This window comes from Homo sapiens, chromosome 3 (assembly GCF_000001405.40).
Source record: "Homo sapiens chromosome 3, GRCh38.p14 Primary Assembly".
Classification (NCBI taxonomy): Eukaryota; Metazoa; Chordata; class Mammalia; order Primates; family Hominidae; genus Homo; species Homo sapiens.
The window spans coordinates 145,555,420-145,574,081 of NC_000003.12; the positions used below are offsets into that span (position 1 = coordinate 145,555,420).

At 35.5% G+C, this 18,662-nt stretch overlaps 2 long non-coding RNA genes across 3 annotated transcripts, besides 1 other annotated feature; both read right to left on the minus strand.

Moving 5' to 3' along the window:
* Nucleotides 1-1,068: 1,068 nt before the first annotated feature.
* On the minus strand, nt 1,069-13,803 carry LOC105374142 (uncharacterized). 2 transcript variants are annotated; one of them, XR_001740564.1, is made up of 3 exons: nt 13,698-13,803; nt 2,064-2,177; nt 1,069-1,103 (listed from the first exon to the last, which is right to left on the minus strand). It is a non-coding gene; the product is annotated as an uncharacterized LOC105374142 (long non-coding RNA). The 2 variants fall into 2 exon arrangements; XR_924560.3 differs by lacking the exon at nt 1,069-1,103 and adding an exon at nt 1,134-1,510.
* Nucleotides 1,327-2,526: an enhancer, noted in NCBI's record as "BRD4-independent group 4 enhancer chr3:145274533-145275732 (GRCh37/hg19 assembly coordinates)". NCBI's record gives its function as "activates an origin of replication core promoter dependent on BRD2, P300/CBP, MED14 and CDK7 cofactors, and independent of BRD4, by STARR-seq in HCT116 cells {active_cell/tissue: HCT116}" and the evidence as "EXISTENCE:reporter gene assay evidence [ECO:0000049][PMID:35650434]".
* A 45-nt stretch (nt 13,804-13,848) lies between the features above and the next one.
* On the minus strand, nt 13,849-18,186 carry LOC105374143 (uncharacterized). The gene is made up of 3 exons (XR_924561.2): nt 17,963-18,186; nt 17,547-17,598; nt 13,849-13,871 (listed from the first exon to the last, which is right to left on the minus strand). It is a non-coding gene; the product is annotated as an uncharacterized LOC105374143 (long non-coding RNA).
* Nucleotides 18,187-18,662: the final 476 nt, after the last annotated feature.

Here is an 18,662-nt window from a genome sequence, read left to right on the forward strand (position 1 = left end):
CGTTTGCCCATTTTGCAACAAGAATTATTTAGATCTTGTAGGATGGAAAAATTGAAAGTGCCATTTTCTGGCTATTTGGAACAACTGTCGAGTTTGTATTGGGGTCAAGTGGCATTGCAGAAGAAAATAAGATGCTTAGATTTTAGGTCAGGTGAGAATTGAAGAGGTTTTAAGTTCTTAAGAACACAGGCTAAGGGAGAAGATGGAGGAATGGAGGGTGGAAGGTTGCCCATAGTGAAAGAGGCAAGTCCAGAGAAAAGAGAGAGTAGAGAAATGGAGGGAAGGGGTTCGGGGGTTCTTACCCTCCAGAAAAGCAGGAAAGGGGTTGGGGCACAGAGATATGAAGTTGGGGCATGGAAATAAGGGATTGGGGCACAGAGATATAAGAGGTTGGGGTGCGGAAATAAGGGATTGGGTTACAGAGATGTAAGGGGTTGGGGTGCGGAAATAAGGGATCGGGGTGCAGAGATATAAGTGGTTGGGGTACTTGCCCCTCCCCTAGAAAAGCAGGACTTGCCACTAAGGGTGAAGGAGAAGGGGTTGGGGGTTTCTTGCCCCCCAGAAAGGTGAAGAAGGGGTAGAGACATGGAGAGAAGGGGTTGGGGTACTTGCCCCTTCCCCAGAAAAGCGGGACTTGCCGCTAAGGGTGAAGGACCAAGGAAGGCGTCCCTGCATGGTCTGACACCTCTGAAATGTTGATGAATAATCAGAGAGGCACCCCTGCAATGATTAAACACCAAGGGAAGGCTGCCTTCCCTAGTCTGTGACCAGTGCTGGAGTTTTGGGTCCACGGATAAAATGTGTCTCCTTTGTCTCTACCAGAAAATGAAAGGAATTGAAATTAAGAGAAGGGAGAGATTGAAGTGTGGCGCCAAGATTGAAAGGAGAAAGAGATTGAGGGATAGTGAGGGAGGTTGGAGAAGAGAATAAAAAGAGGCTGCTTACTGGATTTGAAAATGGTGAGATGTTTCTTGGGCTGGGTGGTCTGAGGACCTGAGGTCGTAGGCGGACCTTTCTCATGGAGCAAAGAGCAGGAGGACAGGGGATTGATCTTCCAAGGGAGGTCCCCCGATCTGAGTCATGGCACCAAATTTCATGAGCATCTGTGGGAAGAGACCACCAAACAGACTTTGTGTGAGCACCATGGCTGTTTATTTCACCTGGGTGCAGGCAGGCTGAGTCTGAAAAGAGAGTCAGCGAAGGGAGATGGGTTGGGGCCGTTTTATAGGATTTGGGTAGGTAAAGGAAAATTACAGTCAAAGGGGGGTTGTTCTCTGGCAAGCAGAGTGGGGGTCACAAGGTGCTCAGTAGGGGAGCTTTTGAGCCAGGATGAGCCAGGAGAAGGAATTTCACAAGACAATGTCATCAGTTAAGGCAGGAACAGGCCATTTTCTCTTCTTTTGTGGTGGAATGTCATCAGTTAAGGCAGGAACCGGCCATTTGGATGTGTACGTGCAGGTCACAGGGGATATGATGGCTTAGCTTGGGCTCAGAGGCCTGACAAAAGCTACTATAAAGAAAAGAGAAACAAAATGTGCCAAAATTTTGTAAAAGGATTGAGTTTTAGGCAAACAGGTTACCTGGTAGTGAATTAATCTTTAGGAAACTCATGTTTAGAGTAGATATCCTGTCCATAATTATGTAAACTGAAAACTTTTTCTGGTCTTAATATTCTGTGGTTTAGAAATATGAGAAACAGCTAAAATAAATGGGCTTTAACACCCACAAAAATACAGATAGCAAATAAATAGAGAAATCAAAGCTATCTTAAATGCTAGTAATTAATTCTAAAAGTACCTAGCTCTCATTAAATTCTGCTTTATGCTGCATTCTTTAGAAGGATGGGATTGATTTGTGAGCAGCAAATCTGGTACAGCCATATTTTTTTTTCAACATGAGAAAAGAGGGAAATAACTTTTAAGACATTAAGTCTTTCAGAGCCACATTTGTGATTAAATTGAGCAATTTTAGCTCACTGCTTAAAAAAGTACTATATAATGCAAAAATTATGCACAGAGTGAATAATAAAAGATGTGACTAGAGAGATTAAAAGTTAAACAAACCTGCAGAAATCACAGCATGACAGCAAATTCCAGATGGCTGCATTCCCCAGGGTCCTTAAGGAACTTTGAAAGGGTAAGCTGCACGTCATCCAACAGATTTTTATCTCTGAAAGCCTATAAATGAAGGAAGAAATGTTCTTGAAAATCCACCACTTCAAAGAACAGTTGTTTTGAACTCTGTGTGAGGGCTTGGCCAAGTTCATGACTCAGTCATCCAAAAAAGCCCATGCCCAAGGGATTACAATTGCTCTAACAAGAACTTGCTCCTATGCCCTGAATGCTATTTGTTTTGCAAATGTCTCTGAAGACAATTCAGAAATCGTGTGTTTTCTTTTCTATCTTCATTGAGGTACAATTGATGAATAGAAATTGTATATATTAAAGGTGTAAGATGTGATGACCTTATATATGTAAACACTTAAATTATTATAGCAATGGAACTAATTAACGCATCCATCACCTCACATAGTTATCTTTTTGTGTGTGGTGAGAACACTTGATATCTACTCTCGATGCAAATTTGAAATATGCAATATAATATTATGAACTATAGTCACTATACTGTATATTAGATCCCCAGAACTTATTTATGTTGTAACTGAAGCTTTGTACCCTTTGATCATTATCTCCCCTGCCCAACTTTGTCATCCCTCCTACAACCACTTCCCATCCCTAGAAACTGATATTTTACTTACTGTTTCTATGAGTTTGACTTTTTTAGACTCCACATATGAGATCATACAATATTTATCTTTCTATGTCTGGTTTATTTTATGTAGAACATGTCTTCTAGGTATATTCATGTCGCAAATGATAGAATTTCCTTTTTTAAGGGTGAATAACAAACATTTAATTATATATATATATCTCACATTTTCCTTATCCATTGTTCCAATGACAGACACTTAGATTGCTTTCATATCCTGACAATTGCTAATAATCGTGCTACGAAGATGAGAGTGCCAATATCTCTTTGAGATACTTATATCAATACCTTTGAATGTATACTCAGAAGTGAGATTGCTGGATCATATGAAGTTTACTAATTTTTTAAGGTAACTTCATACTAGTTTTTATAATATCTACACAAATTTACATTCTCATCAAAAGTATATAAAATTTCTCATCTGTATAGCAAACCCCTGTGTCATGAATTTTACCTATATAATAAACCTTCACAGCTACTGTTGTCTTTTTTTTTTTTTTTTTTTTGAGATGGAGTCTCGCTCTGTCACCTGGGCTGGAGTGCAGTGGCAGCAATCTTGGCTCACTGCAACCTCTGCCTCCCAGGTTCAAGCAATTCTCCTGCCTCAGCTCCTGAGTAGCTGGAACTACAGGCGTTCACCACCACACCTGGCTAATTTTTGTATTTTTAGTAGAGATGCGGTTTCACCACATGGGTTGGCCCGGCTCGTCTTGAACTCCTGACCTTGTGATCCGCCCGCCTTGGCCTCCCAAAGTGCTGGGATTACAGGCGTGGGCCACTGAGCCCAGCCTATCCTCACTAACATTTCTTATCTCTTGCTTTTCTAATACTAATCATCCTAATATATCAGAAGTGATATCTGATTGTGGTTTTAATGTGCATTTACCTGATTATTAGTAATACTGAACACTTTTTCATATACCTTTTGGCCATTTGTACATCTTCTTCTAAAAAATGTCTATTAAGATCCTTTGCCTTTTTGAAAATTGTGTTATTTTTGGGGATTTTTGCTTCTGAGTTGAATTCTGAATTGAGTTTTAGCCTTTATTAGACACATGGTTTTCAAATATTTTCTCCCATTCCATAGGTTGTATTTTCACTATGTGGGTTGTTTCATTTACTGTGCAGAAGCTTATTAGTTTGAAATAACCCCATTTTATTTTTGCACTTGCTGCCTGTGCTTTTGGTGTCATATCTAATACATCATTTTAAAGACCAATCTCAAGGAGTTTTCCCCTACTTTTTTCTAGTAGTTTTATGGCTTTAAGGCTTCCATTTAAATTTATAATTCATTTAATGTGTGTGTACAGTGAAAGATAAAAGTCCAATTTTATTCTTTTGCATGTGGATATCAAGTTTTCCCTCTACCATTTATTGAAGAGACTATCATTTCTTCATTGTGCATTCTTGGCACCTTTGTCAAAGATTAGTTAACCATATGTGCATAGACTTATTTCTGGGCTAGCAATTCTGGCCCATTGTTCTATATGCTGTTTTTTGTGCTGGTATCATGCTGTTTTGAATACTAGAGTTTTGTAATGTAGTTTGACATCAGGAAGTATGAAGTCTTCTGGCTAAAGATTGCTTTGCTTACTCAGGGTCTTTTGTAGTTCCATATGGATTTTAAGATTTTTTTTTTCTTTTTGTTAAAAAATATTGAAATTTTGATAGGGATTGCACTGAATCTGTGGATCACTTTAGGCAGCATGGACATTTTAATAGTATTAATTATTCCAGTTCATGTAAAGAACATATCTTTTTGTTTTTGTGTCTTCTTCAGTTTCTTTCAGTAAGTCTTATAGTTTTTAGCATACAGATCTTTAACTTCCTTGGTTAAATTTATTCCCAAATATTTTATTCTTTAGATGCTTTTGAAAATAAATTTGTTTTTCTAATTTCCTTTTCTGATACTTTGTTATTAGTATATAGAAATACTACTGAATCTTGCTTGTTGATTTCGTGTCTTGCAACTTTACTGAATTTATTTGTTCTTTTTTTTTTTTTTGACAGTCTTGCTCTGTTGCCCAGGCTAGAGTGCAGTGGCCTGATCTTGACTCACTGCAAGCTCTGCCTCCTGGGTTCATGCCATTCTCCTGCCTCAGCCTCTCAAGTAGCTGGGACTATAGGCACATGCCACCACACCCAGCCTGGCTATTTTTTTTTTTTTTTTTTTTGTATTTTTAGTAGAGACGAGGTTTCACCATGTTAGCCAGGATGGTCTCAATCTCCTGACCTTGTCATCCACCCGCCTTGGCCTCCCAAAGTGCTGGGATTACAGGCGTGAGCCACCGTGCCTGGCCTATTTGTTCTAATAGTTATTTTGTGGGAGCTTTAGGGTTTAAAATATATTCAATTATGTCATCCCTAAACACAGAAAAAAATTACTTCTTCCTTTATAATTTGGATATCTTTCCTTTCTTTTTCTTGTCTAATTGAATTTGGCTGTGACCTCTAGTAGTATGTCGAACAAAAGTGTTAAGTGTGGGCATCCATGTATTATTTTTGGTTTTGGAGGAAAATAGATCATCTTTTCACCAGTAAGTATGACGTTAGCTATGGGCTTGTCATATAGCCTTTATTAAGTTAAAGTTAATTCCTTCTATAACTGATTTGTTGAGAGTTTTTTATAAAAAAGGGGTGATACATTTTATCAAATGCTTGTATTGCATCTCTTAATATAAATCATATTATTTTTATCCTTTACTCTGTTAATGTGGTGGGTCACATGTGTCGATTTGCATATGCTGAGTCATTCTTGCATGGAAAGACATGGAAATTGCATCAAATTCTACTTGACCACGATGTATAGTCCTTTTACCATGGGATTGAATTTCATTTGCTAATATTTAGTTGAGAATTTATGCATTTATGTTCATCATGGATATTGGCCTGCAATTTTCTTTTTTTGTAGTACCATTTTCTGGTGTTTGTATCAGGGTAGTTCTAGTCTCATCTAATGAGTTTGGAAGTATTTCCTTTTATTCCATTTTTTTGAAGAATTTGAGAAGAACTAGCATTCATTCTTCTTTAAACGCTTGGTAAAATTCACCTGCTAAGCTGGTTGGTGCTTGACTTGTCTTTGTTATGAGGCTTTTGATTACTGCTTCAATTGCCTTACTGTTTATTCGCTCTGCGGTTTTCTGTTTCTTTGTGATTTCATCTTGGTAAGCTGTATGTTTCTAAGAATTTATTTCTTCTAGTATATTGAATTTTTGGCATATAGTTATACATAGTAGTTTTTATGATCATTTGTATTTCTTTTACATCAATGATAATGTCTCCTCTTTCACTTAAGATTTTATTTGAGTATGTCCACATAAAAATTTATTTTTTTGTATCTTTTCAAAAAAACAACTCTTAGTTTTATTGATTTTTAAAAATTGTATTTGTAGGCCTGTATTTCATTTATTCTGCTATAATATTATTATTTTCTTCTGTATTCTTCTATAGTCATTACTTTCTTTCTCCTACTTTGTACTGATTTTTTTTTCAATTCCTTGAGGTATACAGTTAGGTTGTTTATTTGAGGTCTTTTTTATTTCTCAATATAGGCATTTATTGCTAAAATCTTCCCTCTTGGAACTGCTTTTGCTCCATCCCATAAGTTTTACTATGCTTTCTTTCTATTTCTGTTTGTTTCAAGATATATTTAATTTGTTTTCTAATTTTTCTTTGGCATATTGGATTTCTTTGACTCCATATTTACCTTAACAGTGAGTTTTATATTTTCTTGTATATTCATGTTCAGGATAATGCTGTGTAAATTTCATATATTTGTGAATTTTCCAGTTTTCGTCGTGGTATTTATTTCTACTTTTATAACAGTATGATCAAAAAAGAAACTTAACGTTTCTTTTTAAAAGACTTCAATCTTTTAAAATTTATGCTGACTTGTTTTGTGGCCTAACATGTGATCTATCCTTGAGAATGTTCTATGTGAGCTAGAGAAGAATGTGTATTCTGTTGCTGTCATATGTAATATTGTATATATGTCTATAAGGTCTATTCATCTAAAATGTAGTTCTTCTCCAATGTTTCCTTCTTGGTTTTCTATCTCCATGATCTGTCCATAGCTAAAAGTGGGGTATTGCTGTCATCTGCTGTTATTTTATTCTTATATATCTCTCCCTTGTACTCTACTAATATTTACTTTATATATTTAAGTTCTCCAATATTAGGTTCTTGCAGATTTACAAGTGTTAAATCCTTTTGATGAATTGAACCCTAATTATTGCAAAATGACTTTCTTTTGTCTGTTTTTACAGTTTTTGAGTTAAGTTTATTTTGTCTTAGCATAACTATCCCTGCTCTCTATTTGTTTCTATTTGCATAAAATATATTTTTTATTTTCTTCACTTTCAGCCTGATGTGTGTCTTTAATGCTAAAAGAAGCCTCTTGTGTGGAGTATATTATTCTATCATGTTTATTTTGATTTTTACCTATTCAGAAACTCTGTACCTTTTGATTAAAAATTTATTCAATTTACATTTTAATTTTTTCTAACCATTTTGTAGTTCTTTGTTCCTTTCTTTTGCTCTTGCTTTCTCTGGTATTTGCTTGCATTTTTGTTGGCATATTTAAGTTCTTTTCTATTTATCTTCTGTGTATATATGAAGCTTACATATAAGCTTACATATGAAGCTTACATTAAAAATATCTTATAGTAATAGTCTATTTTAAGCTGATAACAACTTAAGTTTAATCACATACAAAAACCTCACTTGCACTTCTCTGCCACCACATATATGCTAGTATTGTTACCCTTTGTATCTTTTAAAATTATGTATCCATTAACAAATTGTTGTAGCTATAGTTATTTTTAATAAATTTGTCTTTTAACTTTTATACTAGAGTTAAAAGTAATTCACTTTCTACCACTATAATAGTTGAGTAATCTGAATTTAACTCTATATTTATCTTTAACAGCAAGCTTTATATTTTCTTACATGTTCATGTTGATACTTACTACTCTTTTATTTTAACTTGAAGAACTCCCTTTAGCGTTTTTTGGTAAAGCTGACCTAGCTGTAATTAGCTTCCTCAGATTTTGTTTGACTGGGAATTTTTTTTATCTCTTCCTAATTTCCAAAAGAAAGATTTACTGGGTATAGTAATCTTAGTCAACCATTTTTTTTTCCTTTAAGTACATTGAATATGTAATTCCACTCCCTCCTGGCTGGCAAGATTTCTGCTAAGAAGTCCACTAGTAGACTTATGTGACAGTAGTTAACTTGTGTGCGACCACACTCTTTTCTCTTGCTGCTTTAAAGTTTGTCTTTCACTTTTAGCAATTTGTTAATAATTTATCCCCTGGTAATGTTTGTATTGATCTTGCCAGAGACCCCTTGAGCTTTGTGAGTCTGGATGTTATATGCCTCCCCAAATTTGGAAAGTTTTAGTCTTTTTTTTTTTTTCTCTTTCTCTCTTCTTCTGTGGAACTCTAATAACATATATACTTGTTTGTATGACGGTATACCATTGGTACTATATGATTTCTTTACTCTTTAATATTTTTTTCTTCTAACTTGGTAATTCCCAGTGGCCTGTTTTCAAGTTTGCCAGTTCTTCCTCTGCATGATTGAGTCTTCTGTCAAAGCTGTTTACTGAATTTTTCAGTTTTGTTATTATATTCTTCAGCTTCAGGATATCTGATTAATCATTTTTACGGTTTCTAAATCTTTATTAAGCTTATTATTTAGCCCATATATTATTTTTGAGGTTTTATTTAGTTGTCTATATGTGTTCTCTTACATCTTCTTGAGCTTCCTTTGGATGATTATTTTTAATTATTTCTCAAGCAACTTATAGATCTCCATTTCTTTGGGATTGTTCATTGATGCCTTATTAATTTCCTTTGGTGATGCCTTGTTTGACCAGTTCTTTATCATCTGTGTAGCCTTGTACTGATGTCTATGCATTAAAAGGAACATTCACCTCTTCCAGTCTTTACAGTCTGGTTTCAGCAGGCAATGACCTCCTGTTGAGTCCCTAGGGATTGCAGTCAATCAGCATTGAAACCAAGTCATATAGCTGCTCCTACGTTTGCAATGGGGTCCATGATTCATATGTTGTTACCAGGTGCTTCGGTGAGTGTGGATTCTGCTTGGTCTTTAGACAGACAGGAGTGTCTCATTAATCTTGGTCAGTGGCTCTGGCACTGGGCAAGGGTTCACCTCATGATCTGCAATTAGGTTCACAGATGATGGGGTCTATTACCAAGTCTGTGGGCAAGTGTAGCTTCCAATAGGTCCCTGGAAATCTCCCACTGGGTCAATGGGTGGATTACTGGGCACGTGAGACTACTCCTGTGCTACAGATGCTTGAGGCTAAAACTAAGTCATATGGCCACTTCAGGATCCACAGTCATATTGAGGCTGGTAGCCTACCTTTGATAGCACAAACAGGCATGTCTCCCACTAAGTTGCTGGGCAGGCAGGACTGACCCTTGACCATGTCTGAGAGGGGCTGGACCTCAGTAACAGGTTCATTTTAGGATCTGTAGCTAGACCAAAGTCAGTTTGCCTGTCTTCCTGGGAAAAGGTAGGCATGTGTTTCACCAGTCCCTGGGTGGCCAAGACTGTTCCTGGACTGCAGCTATCAGAGCCTGAGCCAGGTTACAGGCTGCATCAGGGTCCACAGCTCGTACTGAGGTCAGTAGGCCTGAGGCATGGGTAGGTGTGGCTCCTTCTTGATCCCTGGATAGATGGTGTTGGTGGCAGGACCAAGGCCAAATGGGACTGTAACCAAGTCCACAGGGGGACATGGCTGTTTCTGGGTCTGTAGTTGGGACCACAGCCAGTAAGCCTGGCACCTAGGCACTGGCCTTACTTCTCAAAACAATTTTATTTGGTCTTGGGCTTCATCAGTGTTTTGCAGCCTCTTATCTCGATACCAAAGCTCTCACAAAGCCACATGTGTCTATGGTTTGCTGCCAAAATACTGTTGTTGGAGGGATACAAGTGGGTAACCTTTTATTCCTACAACTTGCTGATATTATTCCTAAGGTTTTTGTGTTATGTTACCTCTATAATAGAGGTCATAGGAAAACATGGGACTAGGTAATACAGGAAAAACTTTGGGGCCCCCAAGTGAGACCTATGTACTTGATTCATGAGATACCCTGGGATTTTAGAGAGGCTTGTTTCTGGAAAGCTTTCACTTCTAAAAACCTTTAACTCTTGTTTTTATGGAAAATAATTTTGCTTTGTGAAATAGTTCACTCTTTGAAAGAAGACAGAGCTGGTTTTGACTGTTGGATTTGCTACTTTCTTGGCAGTATGCTTCTTAATTAACTTCAGTTTTTACATTCTTTTTTAAAAAAAGGGGAATAACAATGCTTATTTCAAGAGTTGTGACTATAAATGGAACACGCTACTTAAAGTATCCAACACATTGTAAAGCACGCGATAAATTTATCAATGCCAGCTTTTCACCCTTTCTTGTGCCTGTGTGTGGATGTGTGTGTTTCAAATTTCTAAATCACTGATCTCCTCACATGTTGTCTCTAAAATTTTACCCTGATTCAAAATAACCTCCCATGTATAACTTGAATATAATGCAATATGCATACAATGTGCCTGATAACTGAATTCTCTCTGTCCATAAAACACAAAGTGTGCAAATGTGCACACACACAAACACACACACACACAGAGAGACAAAAGCATATAATGCAAAATAGTTACATTTTAAATGCTCAATGGCCGCATGTAACTATTGGTACAAATTGGAATGGCAGTTTTAGAGTTAGAAATATGAATTTAAACTTAGATAGGAATTAGTCAGCTCAGAAAAAAATATTCCTGATATTTTAATAGAAATTTCATGTTATGCCACTAGCAAATTTACTTTCCCCTTTTCCAAACCATGGTTTTCATATTATTTCTTGCTGTGAACTTCTAGTACCGCTTGCACCCATTACTCAGCTAATGACCTTGCTTAGAAATTCAAAGAGATCAAATAATCAATATGTTACCTTCTGCATCCTCCTACTATTGATATGCACTACACATATGTATTCTGCCTCTCTTGAATTAAAAAAGATGAACTGCCTTGCCATTATTTAAGATAAACTTCATCAATTTTTAATGGGTCATTCTGCCTACTCAATGATTCTACTGTTACATACAATTATCTCCCTTCTTTCCTTCAAATTATATTTGTTTATTGTATTCCTCCCCTACTACACTGAATCTTCATTAAGGAACAGCTTATTTGTTTTGTTTTTGTTTTATCTTTCTATTCTTAACATCTAAGATTATGCTTGGCATCTAATAAGTACTCAATATTACCCTAATTAAATCTGTGTCTCCTCCTAGTTAGTCACAAAATGATGTCATATTCAAAAGTAATGTTAAAAGTAATTAATCCTGTAAAGTACTTTAAAACTTTACTTAACATCTCTGGAAGAGGCACTATAGAGGCAAATTTATTTCATGATAATATTTGTCTCCTGAATCATCATGGTAACTCCAAATATCTTCAATTTCTCTCTCTGTTTGTATCTATCTATCTATCTATCTATCTATCTATCTATGTATCTAATATTTATCTGTTTCTTCCATGTTAAGATTAGCTCTTCAGTTAATGGATAAATTTATTCTTTTCAGGATTATTTAAAACATCTCAATATTCCAAACATTAAAAACACTATCTAAAAGGCTTTCAGATAAATACAAAAACATCCTTATTAATTTTGTAGCAGGTGAACATTTAAATACTTATAAATGTCCATTTTAAAATAAAATGAATGGATGATTGATTGAACCATATTCTACATGTGAGTTGATGTATTATAGTGGACAAGCATGTATTTCAAGCCAGTCTGTCATGACCTCAGACTCCTTCTGTGGCACTTATTAATGGCTAAAAATTGATATGCTAATTAACCTCTCAAATTTTGTTTGTTCTGGTCTGTAAAATGGCAGTAGAAATATCTACCATGTGTTCAGGAATGTGAGAGTTATGTAAAATAATACATATAAAATAATACATATAAAAGTCAATTTAACACACCTAACCTACTGAACATTACTGTTAACCCAGCCTACCTTAAACATGCTCATAACACTTATATTAGTCTATAGTTGGGCAACATCATCTAACACAAAGTGTATTATATAATAAAGTGTTAAACATCTCATGTAATTTATTGAATACTGTACTGAAAGTGAAAAACAGAATGATTGTGCTCAATGTACAGTTCCTTCTGAATGCTGCTTTTGCATGATTATAAACTTGAAACTAAATAAAAACAAAAACACAAATAACCCCATAAAGATTGTGCTTCTAGCTTTTAGCACTGGCACTATTTCAATTTTTATAATTTTTCATATCAAATACCTCACAGTAGCTTAAGAACACAATCCCTGGATAACTGCATTTTTTTCTTCCTAGAAGGGCTGAGAATCATTACATGTTTGCCATCACTGATCAGAGAGCAGTTAGCATCTTTTTATCAAAAAACAAAAAAATATATAAATTTTATAAAATTCCTAAGGAAAATGCATTTTAACTTAACTGTATGAATTTTTAATATCATCTGGCTTATGAGATACATTCTATAATTTGATTTGAATGGCAGTATTATTCTTTTCCTTATTTTTACATTTATTCTTTATTGTCTGCAGAAAAAAAATGATATAATGAAATACTTAAGTTGTGTCCATCTTTGAAGTTGAGAACAGTTGGTCTCTCAGAGATGATTAGTACCTCTAGCAGGCTCAACATCACATAATTCAATCTCCTTTGAACCTGAATTGAGTGCCAATAGTGCTATTTATTCTGCATTTGAGATGACAGTTGATGGCTAATATTTTCTGTGGGGAAAAACATAGCCTTAAGAAACAAACTTAGCATGCTTAACAGTGAATTGTGGTACAGCAACAATAGAGACCCAACTTATTTTTAAAATTCCAGCAACCAAAACAAATAAAAAATATGATGTTATAATGTATATATTATAATATTTGTTACATTAATAGAAGGTGAACTACCTGTTATTGTAAAAGAAAATCCAATTTACTGTCTGTTGCCTTCAATTTTGATTTGACAAATGCTTAATCTTACGCTGTGTTTCAAGTCCTGTCATTTATCTTTTGGAGCATGTACTGTAATGTCTCCTTGAGGCAAATAAAACTATCTTTGCATTTCATTTACTAAAAATGCTTAGGTATATTTGAGTTTATTAGGTGCAAATATGTGAGAAGCTAATTCTGTTGTTAAGATCTTTTTGGCATGTGAAATCCATCATGACTTTAAGTTTGAAACTGTTGATTGCATCCTTATTTGTATCAAAAGAAGAAGGCACATGATGACTATTTCTATTGTCCTCACATATACACCATGTAATTTTGTGATCCATATCAAACTTACTTAAACAACTTCATCAATTGTAAGTATTTAATTATTTCCTTCAACTAGTTTAATTGGATATAAAAGCAAGTTTTCCATAGGCTGGAATTATTTTACAATATGCATTAAAGAAAAACCTTCACACTGTAAAATGTTAGTTCTCTTTATTCATTTACTATTAGACAACTATTCCAGAGAATGCCAAATTGTATGTGAAGGAACATCTTAGAAACAAAATCTCACATTTAAAAAATAATTACAATGACTGTCAGTTCATGTTGTCATATGAAACACATTTTTTGTTGTCACTCCCTCCAAAAATTCCAACAAAAAGACAGTAAATAAATAAGAAGGTACATATTCTCTAACACATAGAGAATAGAGAGCAAAAGAAAGCAGGTGAAATACATCAACAATACTTTAGAAGATGGAAAGAGTATGAATGACTATACTACCTGATTTGCATAGTGGAAAAAGCTGAATCTAGATGCTGTGTTAAGGATGGCTAATCAAATTTAATTCAATGCATCACAAAAGTAATCAAGAAAAGATTGAAACTGAAGGCAACTAGTACCTCTAGTAGGGTTGCCAGGTAAAAGAGAAGACACGGCTGGGCACGGTTGTTCATGCCTATAATCCCAGCTACTCAGTAGGCTGAGACAGGAGAATGTCTTGAACCTGGGAGGTGGAAGTCACAGTGAGCTGAGATCGAACCATTGCACTCCAGCCCGGGCAACAGAGTGAGACTCTATCTCAAGAAAAAAAAAAAAAAAAAAGACACACAATTACATTTGAAAATGAAAGAACATTTTTTAGAACACTATATCCTAAATATTGCATGAGATATACTTATGCTGAAACAAAATCACTCTATCTGAAATTCACATATGACTGAGCATCCTCAAATTTTTTATGTTAAGTCTTGCAACCTACTCTGAGGATAGGTTGAGAAGTGGTACTGAGATCTGTGTAAGGATTAGTTGAAAGTGGAAGTAATAAGCAGTGTAATTACTAGATCTCCTCTCTCACCCAACCCGTAGTGCAAACCACCTCACTGCAGCCCAGCAGGCAATGGGGTTTTACCCCCTGAAGAGACTGAACCAGAGACACTGTATTTAGGGAGATGCATTCTGTACAGTACATTAGGATCGAGTCACCATCCTGAAAACACTGGAAGTAAAAGTCTGAATAATGAAAAATAAGACCCTCTAGCATATTGTCCTCACTAAGGCTATAAATTTTAGAAGACAGCATTACCTACCCCCACTCCCATCAAATCAGAGATTTAGAGATCACTTTTGAGAACAGGCTCCCCTAACGAAAGTGCACAGATACTTATGTTTGAGGGTCATCAAACGAAGTGGCCCAGGTCTCTCTCTTTTTGACCACTCCACAGCAAAACTGAGATGTTGGCAGGGTTGTCTCATGCTCATAGGAATTATTTTAGATTTTCAGTATCTCCTTCTGAAATAAGCAAGATTGCCAAATATTCATCCATTTATTAATTCACCAGGTATTTGTTGACCCAAACAGTTTTAGAAACTGGAGATACCTCAGTAAACAAAAGATCAAGATATACTTGACAACTTCTAATACTAAAGGAAAAAAGTAAAAATTTAAAAAGACAAAGAGATAATAAATCAATAGCAATAAAAATCGATGGTTAGTAGATTCAGAAAAATAAAAATATATCTTGTCCTAATACAATAACAGCTTATTCTTTTTTAAAAATTAAGATAATAAATAGTATTTGGAAATGTAAAAAAAATCATTGAATCAAAATATTTTTAAAATGAATTGGAGTAAATATCACATAAAGAAAATTAGAAAAAGACTATTAGAGAGTAACAGAAAAATAATAAGAAATTACATAATACAGCTAGGTCAACCAACATAAGTTACAGACAGGGAAAAAAGAGAAAATTAGAGAGTATAATTACATAAAAATAGAATTCCAGAATTAAAGAAAATAAGTTTTTATATAAAAATGTGTCAAATATTCAGAACAATAAGTGAGGAAACACACACATGCACAAAGAACACACTATGTGTGAGACAGCAAAACAAGAGGGATTTTAAAAAATCCCAAAATATTCCAAATCAAGAGAAAACTAATTCACTTTTGCATATGAAGGACCAGAAGGAAAATGACATCAGACTTCTTCATAGCAGCAAAAGTAGCTGGAAGTCTAATGAGTAATGCCTTTAAAAAAAAAATCTAAGAAAAATGTATTTGTGACTGAAAAGTCTAAATCCAGCCACTCTACCAATCAACTGTGAAGACAGAATATTTTGAGAGTTGTTTTCAGATTCTCAAGATTTCAAAAACTTATCTCCAACTATCTTTTTTCAGCAAGAAATTTAAGGGAATTTAACCCTTCAATAGTAGAATACAGTAGGTCATGAAAAGCTATGTTCATATCAAAACAGTTAAAGAATTGAAAGCGGTTTCCTCTGCAGTTCGAAATATGATTGTGTACTTTAGCGCAGGATATTGTGTTTTTGTTGCTGTTGTTTCTTTCTTTGGAGCCCAAAAGTATTCTGCCTTTTAAAACTGCATATAAACAATACTTTGGTAAAAATTAAAATTAAAATTAAATCCATGGAGAGCTACATGATTCAATTATCTCTCTGCACAGAATAAGAAACTCAAGTAAACACTGTATCAATTGGAGCCATAGAATTCCAATTATCTCCTGGAATCAATTTATGCAATTTGGATGAAACACTTGTTGAACTCTGACTTTAATTACTTGAGCACAATAATGTTAACAAATCAATATAAGAAATACCCAAAGATTCATGCAATTTCTAAAGCAAAACATCAATAAAAGCATATCTTCAGACGGTATACAATTTATTATACTTCCAAAACTTATTGTATAGTCACTTAGTAACATGAATACAATGAAGTGACATGTGTTACTTAATTTTCTTCACAGATCTAAGTTCTTTAACTCCAAACATTACACTCTGGTGATTAAATTTTGTTAATCACAGGCTTAATGATTAAAGTGGAGGTGACTTCTAGTGAAATAATAAAAATGTAATTAATAATAGGTCCTACCAAGGAAAATCAAGCACAAAATTGCTGAGTCTATTTTAAAAATAAGAGCAAGATAAAAAGTGATAGTAAAGAACTAAGACAATTTTATGCTGCTCTAGTTACCCCAAAGCAGTAATTATTTGGAAAGTTATATCAATCTAAAGTGGACTCTGACTGACAGGAGAAGCAGACGTTTTCTTTCTCTTTTCAAAAAATTGTTACTTAAATTATCCATACAATAATTTACACAGAGTGTGCTTAGAGTGAGCGTATTTATTTATACCAAGTAGTTTTGGTAAATATCAGAAATAATGGTACCTAATGAAAACAAATTCTTGGCTAACTTCTTCAGTAAAGGTTTGCTTCCATTTCCCTTTTCTATTTGGCCCTCACACATTTTATTTACCCTGTGGATAACTTGGTAACAGTGAGCATGTTCCTCTAGGACATTGGGAAACTTGGCAAAAAGCTGATATTCCTATCATGCTTCTTATACTCCACAGCTAAAGTGATAACTTCTGGCAGAAATAGCCTTTTGCCTGGAGGATGTCTATACCCAAACCAGAGTAGAGGGAGGATTTTCTGATGCTATCCAAAAGTTAACAAGAGGGAAACTGAGGAGATTGGTCATGGGGAAGTGTAGACAACAGATGCAAGAATAAGGATGAGGCTACTCCAGCACAAAGTGTTAATTGTTCAATTATATTTTTAAAATCATAAATTGCAACTGTTATGCCAACATTCAGCATCTGTGTGAGAAACTCTTTACTACCATGAAAATTATTTCTAAATTGTTTGTCAGTTATCCAAAAAATTCATTCAGAAATATTTATTAAAAAAATTTTATAGAACTTCTACTATGTACCAGGCATTTTTTAAAGTGCTAGGAACAAAACTATGTACTCACAGACAATTTTTTTGGTCTACTCAAGCTTACATTCTAATGGGGGGAGAGAGAGGTTGACAATAAATTAAATAAGTGAAATAAATAAATAAGTGAAATATTATGCAATATGAAGTTAAGTGTGTTACTGGTGGTGAATCCATACAGTTCTGCAGCAATGTCAATTATTGCCTCTTCAGAAAAAAGAATTTGACTGAGTGGCATAAGGCAGAAGGAGAGGCCAAGGCAAATTTTAGAGCAGAAGTGAAAGGTTATTAAAAAGCTTTAGAGCAGGAATGAAAAAAGTAAAGTACACTCGGAAGAGGGCCAAGCAAGTTACTTCAGAAATCAAGTTTGCAGTTTGACCTTTTGATTTGGGGTTTTATACACCGACATGCTTCCAGGGTCTTGTGTTACTTCTCCCACCATTCTGTCCTTGGGGTGGGCTGTCTGCATTCTCAGTAAGTTGCCAACACACAGTACCTTGGGCTTACCAAAATTTTGCGCATGCTCACTTGAGGTGTTCTTCTCTTAACAGTCGCATTCCTAGGGGAAGAACATATACCGGTTAAACTCTGCCATTTTTTTCTCTTAGTGTGTAAGATCAAGGCCACTCATCCAATTCCTGAGATCTTATCAGGAAAATGATCACCAGTTTCAGGTTTTCCTATCTATTGGGAGACTGCCTTTTACTGGCACTAGCTGCAATCAATTATTGTTTTAGAGGGACAGCGTAACAACTGCTTGACCATCAGCTGATGGTCACTTGACATTTCTGGTGGTTGTGGGGGATGCCCTCTCCTGCCCTGCTTATGCCAGACTATAAGCAGGCATACTATAACATTTTCCCCCTCAAGGGTCAAAGACCCCACTTCTTTGGGGAAAATGGCTGCCTCCTGCTGACAGAGACCTGATTGTAGTTGTACTGTTGGTCTTGGCCTCTTGCTAGCTGTCAGGGCAGGGTTGGCTCCATGGGTTCATGAAAGCTGTATCCAGTCAGGTCCAAGGGAGACAGGGGCAGGACTTCACCTGCCATGTCTCACTGCTGGGCAGTCTAGGGTCCCCTGTAGATGAGTGACTCTTGAATATTGAGAGGTCATATCTCTCACTGAGGATCCTCTAGAGCTTGATGGCCTGAAGGTGATAGGAAACAAATTGGTTATTTGATTTAGAAGACATGGACCAAAAAGGAGCAAACGTACAAGACTAACAACTGGTCCTAAAAGGGGAAGAACCCAGCCGAACCATTTCCAGCTTCCTTCCCAATTTAACTAACTCTGGGAGGCTTATTTCCATACACTAGAAGTGGCTTGGTTTGGGAGCTGTCTGACATTGTCTTCCACTTTTCCTGATTGATTTACCCAAAGGCAACATTTTTTATCTAGGGATAAACAAATTCCTCTCTGTACTTCCATTAATATATCTGATCCTCAATGATTTTGGAGGACAACACCAGATAAGGAGTCCATTTGTTCTTGCACAATTGTTAAGATTTTAGCCATGGCATCAATGTTTTTGGCTATTTCCTTTGAGAGCTGGCTACAGGCTAAGGAGGGTTTTGTGATTCCAACAATCCTGGTTACCATACAAACTATAATACCAAGTCCCAT